The 19,081-nt window shown below is 34.5% G+C and overlaps 1 protein-coding gene across 28 annotated transcripts in view; it reads left to right on the top strand.

The window, feature by feature from the left end:
• Positions 1-19,081, top strand: part of SUPT3H (SPT3 homolog, SAGA and STAGA complex component) — a 568,878-nt gene that overhangs the window by 50,958 nt on the left and 498,839 nt on the right. For 7 of the 28 annotated variants that reach the window (NM_181356.3, XM_011514949.4, XM_017011370.2 and 4 more), the window contains 2 exons: positions 4,010-4,098; positions 5,086-5,181. The exons of 20 other annotated variants lie outside the window; for them this stretch is intronic. In NM_181356.3, the coding sequence (NP_852001.1) occupies positions 4,061-4,098; positions 5,086-5,181 (134 nt within the window). In that variant the 5' untranslated portion in view covers positions 4,010-4,060. Of the gene's footprint in view, positions 1-4,009; positions 4,099-5,085; positions 5,182-19,081 lie in introns of those variants that run through there. One more of the 28 variants, NM_001350326.2, reaches the window with a different exon arrangement.

Below are 19,081 nucleotides of genomic sequence, written 5' to 3'. Positions count from 1 at the left end.
GACCAATTTTCTAGGCATTTTTTTGCCATTTATCCATGCCACTCTAAATCTGCATGTTAGACTTCTTCCTAGTGTGACAGTAACTAGGAGTGGCATAAAGTAAATGGGGTGGGCGGAGACAGTGAATTACAAAAGATTATTTGGAATGTGCAGGGAGGTAAGGGCTAGGGAGACAGGAGGGTGTTAGAACTAAAATATCCCTGTGTTCTTCCTAGTGCTATTCATTATCTGCTTTTGGTTCATATTAGATCACAATAACTGTACAAATATGTTCATAAGTTTCTTTACAGAAAATTTGATTTTCCCAAAATACACTGGTAGGGTATGGGAATGATTCTAGTCCTTTATTTTTCAAATGTCCAGAACCTTTTCAGAATAAACTTTTAGTGATAAAAAACCAGAAATACATTTTGGTGTTTTATTTTAACTATGGATTTATCATGCCTTATTGTATGTGTAAACAGATTTTACATTGAAAGGTAAAAGCGTTCATTTAACATGCAGTTATTCATGTGAAGGAGAGAAAAATTATTTTTTCTCTTTTATAAATAAGTCGTATCCATATTATCTGTATCTCTAATTAGTATCCAAAGTAAACAAAAGGAGGGTTTTGTCCTTATAGCTTGTGGGATTTCCAAACATGGTTTCATGTGTACCTATAATAGCAGAATCACTTAATTGAAAATATGTAGGTAGCTGCTGTAGTATGATCAGCAAATGGTTTTCTTCTTTTCAAATAAGCTTATAGTTTCTACATTAGCATTCACTGAAACATCTTACAAACCCAACATTTTGCTATTTTCTTCCTTAAAATCTTCTTTATGTAAACTTTGGCTCTTCAAATTGACCTGATAAGAATTTAAGTAATTTTTAACATCTATTTGTCATTTAATTACCTGTTCACTTTTTGCAGGTAATCCTCCTGCATGTAATTTTTGGACCAGGATTTGAGAGTTTAGTAGATATTGTTATATATGCACTTTTTGTCCTCTGTGAGGCCTATCAAATTCTAGCAGGAGAAAGATAGTGAAATCATGTGCTTTAAGTTAGTATATTCATTATCCACATGAATTTTTTTCCTAAAACGAAAATATATCCTCTTTGGAGCAAATATTACTTTGTTGTAAAAATTTAAAAAACAATGACAACTGGGGCACATTTGATAATTGGTACACATTTGATAACAGTGTGTTTCATTAGAAATAGCTTACTACACGTGGTGAAGAGATACTGATTTAGAAAAGTCAATGCAAATAAAGCTCTTGATTATAGATTTATACCATGGTTATAATCAGAAATTGAAAACCACAGATTTATTTTTATTTTTATTTTTGCTTTTTAAAGACCCATAAAATTTTATCCTCTCTGGGGACATGTTAGTATTTGCTGTTTTGAAGTAAGCAACAAGTTTAGGTATACTGTATAAATCACATACTTTAATGCCATGGAAATGAAATACAGTTTTGATCTTGAAATCAATTTCAAAGAAAAAAAGTTGTTGGTATCTTGCTTCTCCATTGCTTTGTAGTGAATAAAATGTGTTAGAATTGGTTGAACTTTTGAAAATACCAAGGTATTTGTGTTTAAATGCTATGTGTGTCTTCATTGTAACCATTTGAGTAATTTTTTATTTTCTTAACTAATGATCATATTTTAATACATTAGTTTTACTTTATCAATATTGTGCTCATTTCTATGCATTTTTTTAAGGATTATTTTAGACTTATTTGCTGCTAACTCTATTCTTTTATTTGCTGCTCATTCTTTGAAAAACAAAGGAGAAAATGGTTTGATGCAGGAATTTTTAAACTTTAGAAGTCCTAATTTGGCTTAAAATGTTCTGATTATGAGGTTTTACGAAGGAAGTTTTTAACTTATTGTTTCATCTTGGTATGTGACTGTTTCTTATTTTACTTTTTTTTGACAATTTTTCTTTTTTTTGGATTTGATGTATAGCTGTTTAAGCTTACACGGGATCTATTTGGCCTTATATTGACTACTTCTGTTAGTAAAATATGTATAGTTTCATCTGTTAAATTATGGTGACTGTGCAGTATTCCATTTCCTTGTTTAATGGGGTATATGTTTATGTACACAACTGCATGCACATTTGTCTTATTGCGTATGTATACAAGGCATTGTTTTGTAGTACTTTTTGTAATAAGAGCATTTTTCTCAGTTTATTTTAATTAGATCAGGTAAAAACCCAAACTAGCACCATTTCCCTGATTGTTTGAACAACTTCATTTGATTAGTTTTAGCAGCTGTCTAAATGTGAGATTATGTGGAATGCCAGAAGAGAAAATGCTAAGTCAATCTCTCCTGCCTTCCCTCCCTCCCTCTCCCTATCTCTCTCTCTCTACCAATCTCTCTCCCTCTACCTGTCTCCCCCATTCCTCCTCTTTCCCTTTCTTTCTCCTTCAGGCTTTTTTGGGTTCTCTTCCTTTTTTCCCTCATTTCTATACAGCCTCAAAGTAGATTCTTAAGTTCTAGTAGGGGATATTGACATTAATCCTCACTAATGAATACTCGGTAGATTTGGAGCTCTTAACATTCATTAGAAATTGTTATATTCTAATATGTAATGCCTCAGTTGTTAGATAGTATTGGCATCTGATTATAGAGACTTAATTTCTTTCAGCTGTTTTTAATTGTTTCTTGAATCCTTTTATGCTAATTTACTTTAATACATTGTTCACATAGTATTAACACTTTAATTATGAGGATTACTTTTTTTTCTTTGATTATTCTTTGAAGTGCAGAGTGATCCATACTTGTTTAATGTAGCTGTATAAGTAATTCATGTTTCTTGTAATTATTAGAACAATTCATCTTTGAATGCTGTCATTTTTGTAATAATAAAAAAAGGCGAGAACTTGCAGAAAATATGGGAAACATGCTCATATGACAGCTGAGGATGTGGCTAGACTAAAGCAGGAAACTACTACCCACAATGCAATGTTACATACACTACCACTTAATATAATTTATATCAAACATGCTACTGACAAAACCAAAGAAAAATAATATCCCAGCTATGCTATTTAACGTATCTAGGGAGAAGTGAAAGTAATCTTTTTAGAACCTTTGTACTTAGAGAATATAGTAAATGAAACTGTAGGACATTATAGTATACGTTGGAACACTGCTGTAACTTTGTGCTATGGAACATGGCTGTAGGTAAAACTGTCCTATAATGAGAATCTTTTGTATATTAGCTTTCTTGGAAAAGGTACAAAAGGAAAATCTCCTCTCTTTCAATTGAACTCTTTTAGTATTAAATAGGATTAGAGGATATTATCACTTGGAAAAATAAGTTAAATTTTGAGATACTCATTGTCATTATCTAAACTTTTAGTATAGTCATGTATATTTCGTTACAATTTGTTTTAAGATGTCTTTTATTGCCAAGTTGGGGGTGGGACTTGAATTGTCCACTGAGGCATATTTCTTTTTCAAGTAATTGTTTTTCTTGCTCTTTATTCATGTTAATGGCTTGCTCTATCAGTCTATGTGCTTTACTGTAGGGAGGTTATTCTAAAGCAAAAATGTGAACTGCTTTTATAATGTGGTTGAAAAACATGTTAAGGCATCATCTAAAAAAATCGGGTTTTAATATATTTAAGGTTTCCGTTTATAAATCTTAATCCACTGTGCTCTTAGCTGTCAGACTTCAGCAATTTTGATGAAGTTAGTAACTTAATAATTTAGATGAATTTTGAGGTTTATAAAGGAGGTTGTTGAAGGTTTAACCGAACATAATAGAGTTTTTGAATTGATAACCAATGTATACAAGTTTAGTTAGAGGAAGAATAGAGAAGATTGTAAGTTAGTGTTACTTATGAAGGATTCCCCTCTGAGCATTCCAGTATATAAATTGTCAGTGTTTTGTTTCACAACCGGCACAGTAATTGTCATCTCATAATTTAAACATGAATATCATCGTATGTCTGTCTGTATCTCTATTAAGGATGATTTGCTTAATTGTTTGAAGTTTTTTCTCCTTTAGAAACTGCTTATCAATAACAGCTGTAGCACTGTGGCTTTTCTCCATGGACTCATGGTGGTCTTTGGAACAACGTTCTTCAACTTTGACAGGTGAGACAGAGGCTCTCCAGTGCCACTGCTTTTGGATGAATCTAACTGTGGTTGGAGAAAGTGCATCTTGCCAAAATATATGGGCGAGACCACACACAGCCTTTAAAATAGTTATTGTAGGCTTATTTTTAGGAATACATGTCTTGACAGTTCTTTTATTTGCATGCCAGTTTCATTACTGTGTATAGATTTTTCATTGGTTTCAGTAAAGGCGATCGCAGATTTAGGTCTCTATTTGTTAGGCCTTGTGTATAACTTATGCTGGAAAATACCTTGAGTTCTAGCATAATTAACAATATAGAAAATATATTGAAAATGAAGCGCTAGAATACTGATCTTTTTGTTTTTATATATTTGACAGTATTCCCATTGGAAATCTCAATTTCTCAGAAAGCATAGCAGTGAAAACTTGCACTAATTTTACTTTTAAGATTAAGGAAGTCAGGAAAGAAATGTTAAAATATTCATATATTTTAATTATATTAATATTAGAAAATTATAAAAGTATACATTTTTATAATATTGGTATAATAAAGCATTGTTTAAAATGTAGGTTTTACACTTTAATAGAAGCTTGAAAGCATTGAAACTAATTCCTGAAGAAGTCTGTTTCTTGATGCATAGGCATAATATACGTGTTATTCAGTCTTTTTATGGGATGATTAAAACTTTATTCAGCTTAATGAACTATAAAATTGTTTGAATATGTTTAAAAATAAGTATTTCTAGTTTTCTAAAACTAGCTTTTTTAGTGACCAGTAGAGATCACTCTAGACTTTTATAAAATGTTAATTGTTTCTTTTTATAAAATGCTGCATTGGATAATTATTCATGATTCTTATTAAGTTATTAGTATTAACAATATTAAAACTTCTTGGGAACTGGGAGGTCACAAGACTTTTTACTTGATGATTAATGAATATTTCTTAGGTATTTATTTATAATATGTTTTAACCATCTAAGGTGAGATTACAATTTTTTTTCTAGCTTCATAGGGAAAACAGATTCTATAGAAATAATTGGAAAATCAGTTTTTCCCTATTGTTATCACAATATCCTTCCACTGCTGAATGATTCTGGCAGGTAAGTAGTGGGAAATTGTGTTCCTATCGCTTTTCAAGAGAACAAGTTTATGGGTAGAAGAGAGAATGTATTAGATACAAATAGATTGTTTAGAGAAAGATCTGGTGCTTACCTGTCAGAAATCAACATGCATGTGAAACTTGATTGGTTGCTAGATTGAAAGTAGAGCTGCATAGTTCACTTTTAGGATATTTGAGAAAACTTGGAATATGGACTGGATTGCGACGATACTATGGAATATGTATTAAGTTAGATGTGATAATGCTATCATGTTTTTATAGTACAATATCCATAGTCTTAAAAGAGATATGAGCTGAATTAATAAAATTTAATTAAATACATTCATAAAATAAATACATTTGTAAAATAAATGTGTCAAAATGTTAATTGGTGAATATAAGTAAAGGATATATAGGCATTTTTCAGCTTAAACAGTGAATTCTGAAAGGTAAACCATTTTATGTTTAAGTGATACAGAAATTTGATTTCAAATGGAAATCATACTTGAGGAAAATTCACTCATGTATAAATAAATTTTTAAAAATGAGTGAATATGAGTAGCTTGGGCTATACAGCAATTTTAGATTTTAGTTTATAGTTTTAGTCTTTAAATTTTATTCACAGTAAAAAAATGGCTAGTTTTCACAGTTTATTTATATATGGCAAATATAAATTGAAGATGGTAAAAGATTTTTGAAAATCCTAACTTTAAGAATTATGAGTTTGTATTATGGTAATTCAAGGCTAGAAATTTTTAGAGGATCAAAACAAGCATCTGTTATTGGTATGTCATTTGTGTATTCTTAGCTATATGCTTCTGGAATATATATATAAAAGCCTTAAAAAGTTTATTTACATTAAATACTATTATATTGTACTACTGTTACTAAATTATTTATACTACTACAACTGTACTAATACTACTAAATTGTTTATACTACTACATTACACTTTACAAGGAGTATTTTAATGATCAGAAGACTACGTCTCTATGTACAAAGTATTAATTTTGAATTTGTGTTATACTAGTTGATGCCCTACCAGGAATTGACACACTTTTTCTAAAAGGCCAGGTAGTAAATATTTTTGGCTTTGTGGGCCATAGGATTTCTGTTAACTACCTAACTCTGCCATTGCCGTGTGAAAGCAGATGATAAGTAAACAAATGAGTATGGCTGAATTCCAGTAAAACTTTATTTACAAAAACAGGAAGTTGTGGCCAGGCATGGTGGTTCACACCTATAATCCCAGCATTTTGGGAGGCTGAGGTGGGAGGATCACTTGTCCCCAGGAGTTCGAGACCAGCCTGGGCAACATGGTGAGACCCCATGTCTACCAGAAAAAAAAAAAAATGGAAAAGAAAAATTAGCCAGGCATGGTGACGTACGCTTGTGGTCCCAGCTATTAGGGAGGCTGAGGTGAGAGGATCACCTGACCCCAGGAGGTGCAGGCTGCAGTGAGCTGTGTACTTGCCACTGCACTACAGCCTGGGCGACAGAGCAAAGCCCTGTCTCAAAAAACAAAAAAAACCTGGGAAGCTGCCATAGTGGTTTGTCCACTCCTCTTATAGAACAGGCAAGAATGACTTGTAATAATGAAGATCATGTTTCTTATTTATATATTATAATAGAATTCTTGAAGTATTTGGAAATTTTTTTAATAATATTGTTACGTGAAAGATCGTGTCTATGGTATGTAATAACCATCTCTTGAATTGAGTCATGCAAGTTCATCTTGATCATATAATCATTATATTGTGTCACCCTAAAGTCCTTTTAGGATGAGGTTGGAATCCAAATAATTTTGATTAGAGTCCATCTATAAATTATCTTCAATCTCAATATTTAATTTATTTACTTTTCATTATTACTAATAAGATGTTAAGATTTATGTACTTATTATCCACAGAAATGTTCTCTCTTTTAGAGTTCACTACGTTTAATGCCTAAGCATGAAATATTTTAGCAGAAATCTTAGTAACAACTATGATCAACTATTTTCCCTCTGTTTTATCCATATTTGAATTTCATTGAGTGGAAAAAGTAACTAGTTATATTTGATATTACTATGTATTTCCAGAAACAGTCATTGCATCTTCCATTGGACATAATATCCAAAGTAAATTCATTTTCTGAGGATTTACCTACATTAGGTAGACTTTGAGTATTATTTGATGATGGTGGTTACTACTGAGTAAGAAAAGTAATATTTTATGTATTTTTATTGGTAAATAAAAATTGAGCTTGTATTCTGATCTGAATTTCAGATCTTTAGCCTGTTAACACTTAAGGTTTTATATAAATGGGATGGCTTTAAGTAACAGCTTACAGTTCAAATTATTGTGTACTTTATTTTGTCCATGATCATTTTAAGCAATTCTAATTATTAGATATACCGGCAAGAATATGTCTCAAGTAATTTTGTTATGGAGGAGGAATCTTTCTGCCTGCTTCCTCCTGCCTTACAAACTCTGGTGATTGCCTGTTTGCCCTCATTTATGATAAAGTTCCAAAGTGATTGTTTGTACCTCCCATATTTAATTATAAGACACATCATAAGACACATAATTATAAGACACCTATTTAATTATAAAACACATAAATCATTGCAAGCAGTAAGAAAGATAGCTCGTCTGAGAGAGAAACACACACATATACAAACCCAAAAAGCATCTTCAAGGGTCATTTAATGTGAGGGCAGATTGATTGCCCTGTCTGCCTCAGTACATTTTAAAAGATATCAGTGTAGGAATTTAATGAACTAGTTGACAAGAGGAACATTTTTTTAAACATACTTTTTTATGAAAGACTGGGAAATATTTAATATTTATGTAGGGAAGATTTTCATCCAAAATTAATAAATTAAAAATAGTTTTGACATTTAAAGTTATATAATGATCATGTAGTAGGAAAATCTCTGAGAAATAAAATCTTGACTAATAATAAATGGTTAATATAGATTTACTTTATTTATTTCACTATCTCTTGGTACTATTTTAAATCTCTAGGACTCCTGTCATTTTTAGTTATAAATTCATGTTTTTTGAAAATTGAGAAATCCTAAAGATGGCATATTTTTGAAATAATTTATGGATTATTCAATACAACTGGTTGGTGTATACTCTAGCATTGCTATTTAGTTATTTACTGCATGAAATATTTATAAAGTTGATTAGTGATAATATCTTAAATTAATAGACTTTATTTTTCAGTGCAGTTTTAAATTTACAGACAAATTGATCACAAAGTACAGAGAATTCCCATAAGCTCTCACCTTCCTGCCACTGCCAACAGCTCTCAGTTTACTCTTACTAATATCTTGCATTGGTGGTCTACACTTAATAACAATTGATGAACCAATATTGATACATTATAGTTAGCTAAAGTCCACAGTTTACATTAGGATTTTTTCTTTATGTTGTACCATTTCATAGGTTTTGCCAAATGTATAATGTCCTGTCTCCAAAATTACGGTGTCATCCAGAATAGTTTCACTGCCCTAAATATCCTCTGTGCACCTCCTATCCTTCTCTCTCCACAATCCCTGTTAATAACTATTTTTTTCTTCCCTTTCTTTTTACTGATACATGTATGTAATAGTGGTTAAATACATATAACATAAATTTACTATCTTAACCATTGTGACAACGGATCTTTTTACTCTGTCTATAGTATTGCCTTTTCCAGTATGTCATGTAGTTGGAATTGACTCCCAATCCTGCAAGTCCTTTTCATAATGGTGTTAATCTATTCCTGAGGGTGAGGCTCTCATCACCTGAAAACCTCCCATTTTAAAAATTGTGTTACTTGTTTTTTTGCATTCCTTATGTATTTTAGATATTAACCCCTTTGCAGATGTATGGTTTGCAAATATATTTTCTCATTCTGTATGCTTGTTTCTTTACTCTGTTGATTGTTTTCTTTGTTCTGTAGAAGTGTTTTAGTTTATTGTAATCCCATTTGCCTATTTTTGCTTTTGTTGCCAGTTCTTTTGGGGTCATATCCAAAACATTATTATCCAAACCAATTTCATAGAGCTTTTCCCCTCTGTTTTCTTCTAGCAGCTTTGCAATTTCATGTCTTATGTTTGTGTTTAATGCAGTTTGAGTTGATTTTTGTGTATGTTGTTAGATAAGGATCTAATTTTATTCTTCTGCATGTAGCTAACCAGTTTCCCCAGCACCATTTATTGAAGAGACTATCCTTCCCTCATTTTGTGTTCTTGGCATCTTTATTGAAAATCAGTTGACAGTAAATGTATGGATTTACTTCTGGATTCACTGTTCTGTTCCGTTAGTGTGTGTGCTTTTATGCCCGTACCATGCTGTTTTGATTACTGTAGCTTGATAGTAGATTTTCAAATTAGGTAATGTGAAGCCTCTGGATTTGCTTTTTGCTCAAGACTGCTTTGGCTATTTGGGGTCATTTGTGGTTCCATATGAATTTTAGGATTTTTTTTCTGTTTCTGTGGAAAGTGTCATTAGATAAAGATTGCATTCAGTCTTTAGGTCACTTTGGGTAGTCTGGACATTTTGACAATATTCTTTTTTTTTTTTTTTTTTTTTTTTTGAGACAGAGTCTTCCTCTGTTACCCAGGCTGAAGTGCAAGTGGTGTGATCTCAACTCACTGCAACCTCTACCTCCCAGGCTCAAGTGATCCTTCCACCTCAGCCTCCTGAGTAGCTGGAACTATCTGTGCATGCCACGATGCCTGGCTAATTTTTGTATTTTTTGTAGAGATGGGGTCTCGCCATGTTGCCCAGGCTGGTCTTGAACTTCTGAGCTCAAGTGATCCGCCCACCTTGGCCTCCTAAATTTCTGAGATTACAGGTTCCATATGGCATGAGCCACTGTGCCTGGCCTTAACAATATTCTTTCAATACATAAAGTTAGAATATCTTTCCATTTAATTGTGTCTTCTTCCATTTCTTTCCTCAGTGTTCATGCAGGCATGAGCCGCTGTGCCTGGTTTTAACAATATTCTTTCAATCCATAAAGTTAGGATATCTTTCCATTTAATTGTGTCTTCCATTTCTTTCATCAGTGTTTTGTAGTTTTCACAGTATAGTGTACAGGCTGTACTTCTTTGGTCAAATTTATTTCTAAGTATTTACCTTTTTTTGGTAGCTATTGTTAATGAGTTTTTTAAAATTTCTTTTTTGAATAGTATGGAAATGATACTGATTTTCACATGTTAATTTTGTGTCTTGCAGAATTACTGAATTTGTTTATTTGTTCTAACAGTTTATTCCAGAGTCTTTAGGTTTTACTCCATGAAAGATTATGTTGTCTGCAAACAGAGATGATATAACTTTTTCCTTTGGATGCCTATTATTTCTTTCTCTTATCTAATTTTGCTTGATACAGTATTTTTTTTTTTTGCTTTTTATAGGAGTTATTTAGTATTTACAGCTTTCAACATAGACATCCCCCTGATTCATTTTTATTTTTTATTTTTTTAAAATTTTATTTTTCCATAAGTTATTGGAGTACAGGTGGTATTTGGTTACATGAGTAAGTTCTTTAGTGGAGATTTGTGAGAACCTGGTGCACCCATCACCCGAGCAGTATACACTGCACCATATTTGTTGTCTTTTATCCCCCACTTCACTCCCACTCTTCTCCCCAAGTCTCCAAAGTCCATTGTATCATTGTTACGCCTTTGTGTCCTCATAGCTTAGTTCCCACATATCAGTGAGAACATACGATGTTTGGTTTTCCATTCCTGAGTTACTTCACTTGGAATAATAGTCTCTAATCTCATCCAGGTCATTGCAAATGCTGTTAATTCATTCCTTTGTATGGTTGAGTAGTATTCCATCATCTATCTATCTATCTATCTATCTATCTATCTATCTATCTATCTATCTATCTGTCTATCTGAGCTTCTTTATCCACTCATTGATTGATAGGCATTTGGGTTGGTTCCATGATTTTGCTATTGTGAATTGTGCTGCTATAAACATGCGTGTGCAAGTATCTTTTTAGAATAATGACTTCTTTTCCTCAGGGTAGATACCCAGTAATGAGATTGCTGGATCAAATGGTAGTTCTACTTTTAGTTCTTTAAGGAGTTTCCACACTGTTTTCCATAGCAGCTTGTACTGGTTTACATTCCTACCAGCAGTGTAGAAGTGTTCCCTGTTCACCGCATCCATGCCAACATCTACTGTGTTTTGATTCTTTGATTATGGCCATTCTTACAGGAGTAAGGTGGTATCGCATTGTGGTTTTGATTTGCATTTCCCTGATCATTAGTGATGTTGAGCATTTTTTCATGTGTTTGTTGGCCATTTGTATATCTTCTTTTGAGAGTTGTCTATTCATGTCCTTAGCCCACTTTTTGATGGTATTGATTGATTTTTCTTGTTGATTTGAGTTTGTTGTAGATTCTAGATATTAGTCCTTTGTCAGATATATAGATTGTGAAGATTTTCTCCAACTCTGTGGGTTGTCAGTTTACTTTGCTGATTGTTCCTTTTGCCATGCAAAAGCTCTTTAATTAGGTCACAGCTATTTTTTTTTGTTTTTATTGCAATTGCTTTTGGGTTTTTGGTCATGGAATCCTTGTTTAAGGCAATGTCTAGAAGGGTTTTTCCAATGTTAACTTCTAGAATTTTTAGTTTCAGGTCTTAGATTTAAGTCCTTAATCCATCTTGAGTTGATTTTTGTATAAGGTGAGAGATGAGGATCGAGTTTCATTCTCCTACATGTGGCTAGCCTAGTGTCTGAGCACCATTTGTTGAAAAGGGAGTCCTTTCCCCACTTTATGTTTTTGTTTGTTTTGTCAAAGATCAGTTGGCTATAAGTATTTGGATTTATTTCTGAGTTCTCTATTCTGTTCCATTGGTCTATATGCTTATTTTTATACTAGTACCATGCTGTTTTGGTGACTATGGCCTCATAGTATATTTTGAAATCAGGTAATATGATGCCTCCAGATTTGTTCTTTTTGCTTAGCCTTGCTTTGGCTATGTGGGCTCTTTTTTGGTTCCATATGAATTTTAGAATTGTTTTTTCTAACTGTGGAGAATGGTGGTGCTATTTTGATGGGGATTGCTTTGAATTTATAGATTGCTTTTGGCAGTATGATGATTTTCACAATACTGATTCTGGCCATCCGTGAGCATAGGATGTGTTTCCATTTGTTTGTGTTGTCTGTAATTTCTTTTAGCAGTATTTTGTAGTTTTCCTTGTAGAGGTCTTTCGACTCCTTTGTTAGGTATATTCCTAAGTATTTTATTATTTTTGCAGCTATTGTAAAAGGGATTGAGTTATTGATTTCTCAGCTTGATTGCTGTTGGTATATAGAAGAGCTACTGATTTGTGTACTTTAATCTTGTATCCGGAAACTTTACTGAATTCTTTTATCAATTCTAGGAGCTTTCTGGAGAAGTACTTAGGGTTTCCAAGGTAAACAATCATATTGTCAGCAAACGGCAACAGTCTGACTTCCTCTTTACCGACGTGGATGCCCTTTATCTCTTTCTCTTGTCGGATTGTTCTGGCTAAGACTTCCAGTACTATGTTGAAGAGGAGTGGTGAGAATGGGCATCCTTGTCTTGTTCCCATTCTCAGGGGGAATACTTTCAAGTTTTCCCCATTCAGTATTATGTTGGCTGTGGTTTTGTCATAGATGGCTTTTATTACATTAAGGTATGTCCCTTGTATGTTGATTTTGCTGAGGGTTTTGATCATAAAGGGATGCTGGATTTTGTCGAATGCTTTTTCTGCATCGATTGAGATGATTGTGTGATTTTTGTTTTAAAATCTGTTTATGTGGTGAAATATATTTATTGACTTGCATATGTTAAACCATCCCTGCATCCCTGGTATGAAACCCACTTGATCATGGTGGATTATCTTTTTGATGTGTTACTGGATTTGGTTAGCTAGTATTTTGTTAAGGATTTTAGTATCTATGTTCATCAAGGATATCGGTCTGTAGTTTTCTTTTTTGGTTATGTCCTTCCCTGGTTTTGTTATTAGGGTGACGCTGGCTTCATAGAATGGATTAGTGAGGGTTCCCTCTTTCTCTATCTTGTGGAATAGTGTTGAAAGGATTGGTACCAGTTCTTCTTTGAATGTCTGGTAGAATTCTGCTGTGAATCCGTCTGGTCGTGGACTTTTTTTTTTTTTTATAATTTTTAAATTACCATTTCAATCTCGCTGCTTGTTATTGGTCTGTTCAAGGTATCTAATTCTTCCTTATTTAAGCTAGCAGGGTTGTATTTTCTAGGAATTGATCCATCTGTTCTAGGTTTTCTAGTTTATGTGTGTAAAGGTGTTCATAGTAGTCTCGAATGATCTTTTGTATTTCAGTAGTGTCAGTTGTAGTATCTCCTGTTTCATTTCTCAGTGAGGTTATTTGGATTTTCTCTCTTTTCTTGGTTAATCTTGCAAATGGTCTATCAATCTTATATATCTTTTCAAATAACCATCTTTTTGTTTCATGTATCTTTTGTACTGTATTTTTTGTTTGTTTGTTTCAATTTTGTTTAGTTCTGCTCTGCTCTTATTTTTTTTCTTCTACTGGGTTTGGTTTTGGTTTGTTCTTGTTTCTGTAGTTCCCTGAGGCGTGACTTTAGATTGTCTGTTTGTGCTCTTTCAACCTTTTTGATGTAGGCGTTTAGGGCTATGAACTTTCCTCTTAGCATTGCCTTTGCTGTGTCCCAGAGGTTTTGATAAGTTATGTCATTATTGTCATTCAGTTCGAAGAATTTTTTAATTTTCATTTTGATTTCATTTTTGATCCAGTGCTCATTCAAGAGCAGGTTATTTAATTTCCATGTATTTGCATGGTTTTGAGGGTTCCTTTTGGAGTTGATTTCCAGTTTTATTCCACTGTGGTCTGAGAAAGTGCTTGATAGCATTTCAATTTTCTTAAATTTATTGAGGCTCTTTATATGGCCTATCATATGGTCTATCTTGGCGAAAGTTCCTTGGCTGTTGAATAGAATGTGTATTCTGCAGTTGTTGGATGAAATGTTCTGTATATATCTGCTCAAAGTCTATTTGTTCCAAGGTATAGTTTAAATTTATTATTTCTTTGTTGACTGTCTTGTTGACCTGTCTAGTGCTGTCAGTGGAGTATTGAAGTCCCCCCCCCCCCCCACATTATTGTGTTGCTGTCTATCTCATTTTTAGGTCTGTTAGTAATTGTTTTATAAATTTGGGAGCTCCAGTATTAGGTGCATATATGTTTAGGATTATGATATTTTCCTGTTGGACAAGGCCTTTTATCATTATATAATGTCCCTTTTTGTCTTTTTTTTTTTTTTTGAGATGGAGTCTCACTCTGTCGTCCAGGCTGGAGTGCAGTGGCACGATCTCGGCTCACTGCAAGCTCCGCTTCCTGGGTTCACGCCATTCTCCTGCCTCAGCTTCCTGAGTAGCTGGGACTACAGGCACCCGCCACCATGCCTGGCTAATTTTTTTGTATATTTTGTGGAGATAGGGTTTCACTGTGTTAGCCAGGGCCAGGATGGTCTTGATCTCCTGACCTCGTGATCTGCACACCTTGGCCTCCCAAAGTGCTGGGATTACAGGTGTCAGCCACTGTGCCCGGCCTTTTGTCTTTTTTAACTGTTGTTGCTTTAAGGTTTCTTTTGTCTGATATAAGAATTGCTACTCCTGCTTGCTTTTGGTGTCCATTTGCATGAAATGCTCTTTACTACCCCTTTAAGTTTATGTGAGTCCTTATGTGTTAGGTGAATCTCCTGAAGGCAGCAGATAATTGGTTGGTGAGTTCTTACCTATTCTGCAATTCTGTATGTTATAAGTGGAGCATTTAGGCCATTTACATTCCATGTTAGTATTGAAATGTGAGGTACCCTTGCATTCATCATGTTCTTTGTTACCTTTATACTTTGTTTTTTTTGTTTTTGCTTTTTAACTTGTATTTTTGTTTTATAGGTCGTGTGTGCTTTATGCTTTAAAGAGATTCTGTTTTGATGTGTTTCCAGGATTTGTTTCAAGATTTAGAGCTCCTTTTAGCAGTTCTTTTAGTGGTTGCTTGGTAATGGTGAATTCTCTCAGCATTTGTCTGAAAATGACTGTATCTTTCCTTCATATATGATGTTTAGTTTCGCTGGATACAAAATTCTTGGCTGAAGATTGTTTTGTTTGAGGAGGTTGAAGATAGGGCCCCAATCCCTTCTAGCTTGTAGGGTTTCTGCTCAGAAATCTGCTGTTAATCTGATAGGTTTTCCTTTATAGGTTACCTGGTACTTTTGTCTAACAGCTTTTATGATACTTTCCTTTGTCTTAACTTTGGATAACCTGACGACAGTGTGCCTAGACATTGATCTTTTTGTGATGAATTTCCCAGGTGTTTTTTTGTGCTTCTTGTATTTGGATGTCTAGGTCTCTAGCAAGGCTGGGGAAGTTTTCCTTGATTATTCCCCCAGATATGTTTTCTAAGCTTTTAGAATTGTCTTCTTCCTCAGGAACACTGATTATTCTTAGGTCTGTTAGTAATTGTGCATTCTCCACAGAGTATTCTTAGGTTTGGTTGTTTAACATAATCCCAAACTTCTTGGAGGGTTTGTTCATATTATTCTGTTTTCTTTTTCTTTGTTGGATTGGGTTAGTTCGAAGACCTTGTCTTTGAGCTCTCAATTTCTTCTACTTGTTCTGTTCTATTGCTGAGACTTTCCAGAGCATTTTGCATTTCTAAAAGTGTGTCCAAAGTTTCCTGAATTTTTGATTGTATTTTCTTTATGCTATCTATTTTGTTGAATATTGATCCCTTCACTTCTTATATCACTTTTTGGATTTCCTTGCATTGGGCTTCGCCTTTCTCTGGTCCCTCCCTGTTTAGCTTAATAACTAACTTCCTGAATTCTTTTTCAGGTAAGTGAGGGATTTCTTCTTGGTTTGGATCCATTGCTGGTGAACTAGTGTGATTTTATGGGGGTGTTGATGAACCCTGTTTTGTCATATTACCAGGGTTGATTTCCTGGTTCTTTCCTATTTGGGTAGGCTCTGTCAGAGGGAAGGTCTAGGGTTGAAGGCTGTTGTTCAGATTTTTTTGTCCCACAGGGGGTTCCCTTGATGTAGTACTCGCCCCCTTTTCCTGTGGTTATGGCTTCCTGTGAGCCAAACTGCCTGATTGTTTTCTCTCTTCTGGGTCTAGCCACCCAGTGAGTCTACCCAGCTCCTGGCTGGTGCTGAGGGTTTCTGTGCACAGTCCTTCTGATGTGAACCGTCTATGGGTCTCTCAGCAGTGGATACCAGTGCCTGTTCTGGTGGAGGTGGTGGAGGGTGCAACGGACTCTGTGAGGGTTCTTAGCTTTGGTGGTTTAATGCTCTATTTTTGTGCTGGTTGACTTCCTGCCAGGAGGTGGTGCTTTCTAGAAAGCATCAGCTGTAGTAGTGTGGAGAGGGATCAGCAGTGGGTGGGGCCCTAGAACTCCCAGGATTGTATGTCCTTTGTCTTTGGCTACCAGGTTTCCTAGGGAAATCCTGTCAGGTGGGGATGGGGCTAGGTGTGTCTGAATTCAGACTCTACTTGGGCCGTCTTGCTGTGGCTACTGTGGGGGATGGGGTGAGATTCCCAGGTCACTGGAATTGTATACCTAGGAGGATTATGGCTGCCTCTGCCGAGTCATGCAGGTTGTCAGGGATGTGAGGAAAAGCGGCAATCACAGGCCTCACTTAGCTCCCAAGCGAACTGAAAGGCTGGTCTCATTCCCACCGTGCTGCCCACAACAGCCCCAAGTCTGTTTCCAGGTGGAGGGCACGCTTGAAAACTTACCAGAGGCTTTCCACTTCCCAGAGTATTTGAGGTGTCTCCCAGGTACTGCAGGAGCAGTCCGCTTTCTTCAGAGGTTCTGTGGGTCCTCTCAGGATTGCTGGTTTGTTCCTGCAGTTGATCAGAAGCTAACATTCACAATCTGGTACACTATTCTTGGTGGACATTTTCTCCCCATCCTTTTCATCACTTTGACTATATCATCCCATTCTCTCCTGGTCTGTAAGGTGTCTACCGAGAAAACTGCTGTTAGCCTTATTTGAACTCTGTTATATGTGATTTCTTTCTTTTCTCTTGTTGGTTTCAGGATCTTTTCTTTATGTTTGATTTCTGACAGTTTGGTTATAATATACCTTCGTCTATTCTTGTTTGGATTAACTCTGATGGGAGATTTTTTTCCCTGCCTATATGTTGATATTTATATCTTCTTCAGATTTGGGACATTTTCTGCTATTTATTTAAATAAGATTTCTATCACTTTTTCTCTTTCTTCTTCTTGAACTCCTATGACCGAAATATTTGCTGTTTTGATGCTGTCTCATATATTTTATAAGCTTTCTTCAGTTACATAGTTTTTTTTTTCTCTTTTGACTATATATTTTTAACTAACTTGTCCTTAAGATCACAGATCTTCTGCTTGATCAGTTCTGATATTGTTGATACTCAGTTAAAGTTTTAATTTCATTTCATCGTGTTTTTCGGCTTTGGAATTTGTTTCTTTTTATAATTTCAATCTATTAGGTTTTTCATTTTGGTCATTTATTTTCTTGAAGTTCACTGAGCTCACTTAAAATGATTATTCTGATTTCTTTCTCAGGCAGTTTATCTTCATTTCTTTGTGGTCAGGCACTGGGAGATTGTATTCTTTTTTTTTTTTTTCCTAAATATTTAGACATCTATTTTTAAAAGGCATAAACACTCACAGTGTTATCATAATCCTTTCTCCATTTATTTTTCTTTTTATTCAAAATGACTAGCTAGCTTATATGCATATTTTAAAGTAGCTGAATAGCTCAGGAAAAACAAAAATTTGCATAACCAAATTGTGCACCTTTTTTTTTTCCAAATATTTAGACATTCTGTTTTTAAAAGGCATAAACAGTGCTATCATAATCATTTCTCCATTTATTTTTCTTCTTATTCAAAATGACTAGCTAGCTTATATGCATGTTTTAAAGTAGCTGAATAGCTCAGGAAAAACAAAAATTTGCATAACAAACCAAATTGTGCACCTTTTTTTTTTTAATTCAGAATTTTCATTATTTTTTTTGACTTTTTTTTTTTTAAATTTATTTTTTTTGTTATACTTTAAGTTCTAGGGTACATGTGCACAACTTGCAGGTTTCTTACATATGTTTACATGTGCCATGTTGGTGTACTGCACCCATTAACTCGTCATTTACATTAGTTATATCTCCTAATGCTTTCCCTCCTCCCTCCCCCGATCCCAGGACAGGAGCTCTTGTAGGGCAGGCCTGGTGGTGACAAAATCTCTCAGCATTTGCTTCTCTGTGAAGTATTTTATTTCTCCTTCACTTATGAAGCTTAGTTTGGCTGGATATGCAATTCTGGGTTGAAAATTCTTTTCTTTAAAATGTTGAATATTGGCCCCCACTCTCTTCTGGCTCGTAGTTTCTGCTGAGAGATCAGCTGTTAGTCTGATGGTCTTCCCTTTGTGGGTAACCCGACCTTTTTCTCTGGCTGCCCTTAACATTTTTTCCTTCATTTCAACTTAGGTGAATCTGACAATTATGTGTCTTGGAGTTGCTCTTCTCGAGGAGTATCTTTGTGGCGTTCTCTGTATTTCCTGATTTTGCATGTTGGCCTGCCTTGCTAGATTGGGGAAGTTCTCCTGCAGAGTGTTTTCCAACTTGGTTCCATTCTCCCTGTCACTTTCAGGTACACCAATCAGGTGTAGATTTGGTCTTTTCACATAGTCCCATATTTCTTGGAGGCTTTGCTTTTGTTTCTTTTTATTCTTTTTTCTCAAAACTTCTCTTCTCACTTCATTTCATTCATTTGATCTTCCATCACTGATACCCTTTCTTCCAGTTGATCAAATCGGCTACTGAAGCTTGTGCATTTGTCACGTAGTTCTCGTGCCGTGGTTTTCAGCTCCATCAGGTCCTTTAAGGACTTCTCTGCA

This window comes from Homo sapiens, chromosome 6 (assembly GCF_000001405.40).
Source record: "Homo sapiens chromosome 6, GRCh38.p14 Primary Assembly".
In the NCBI taxonomy this organism is placed as follows: Eukaryota; Metazoa; Chordata; class Mammalia; order Primates; family Hominidae; genus Homo; species Homo sapiens.
The sequence above is the reverse complement of the archived record's forward strand: the minus strand, read 5'-3'. Positions and strand labels throughout refer to the sequence as shown.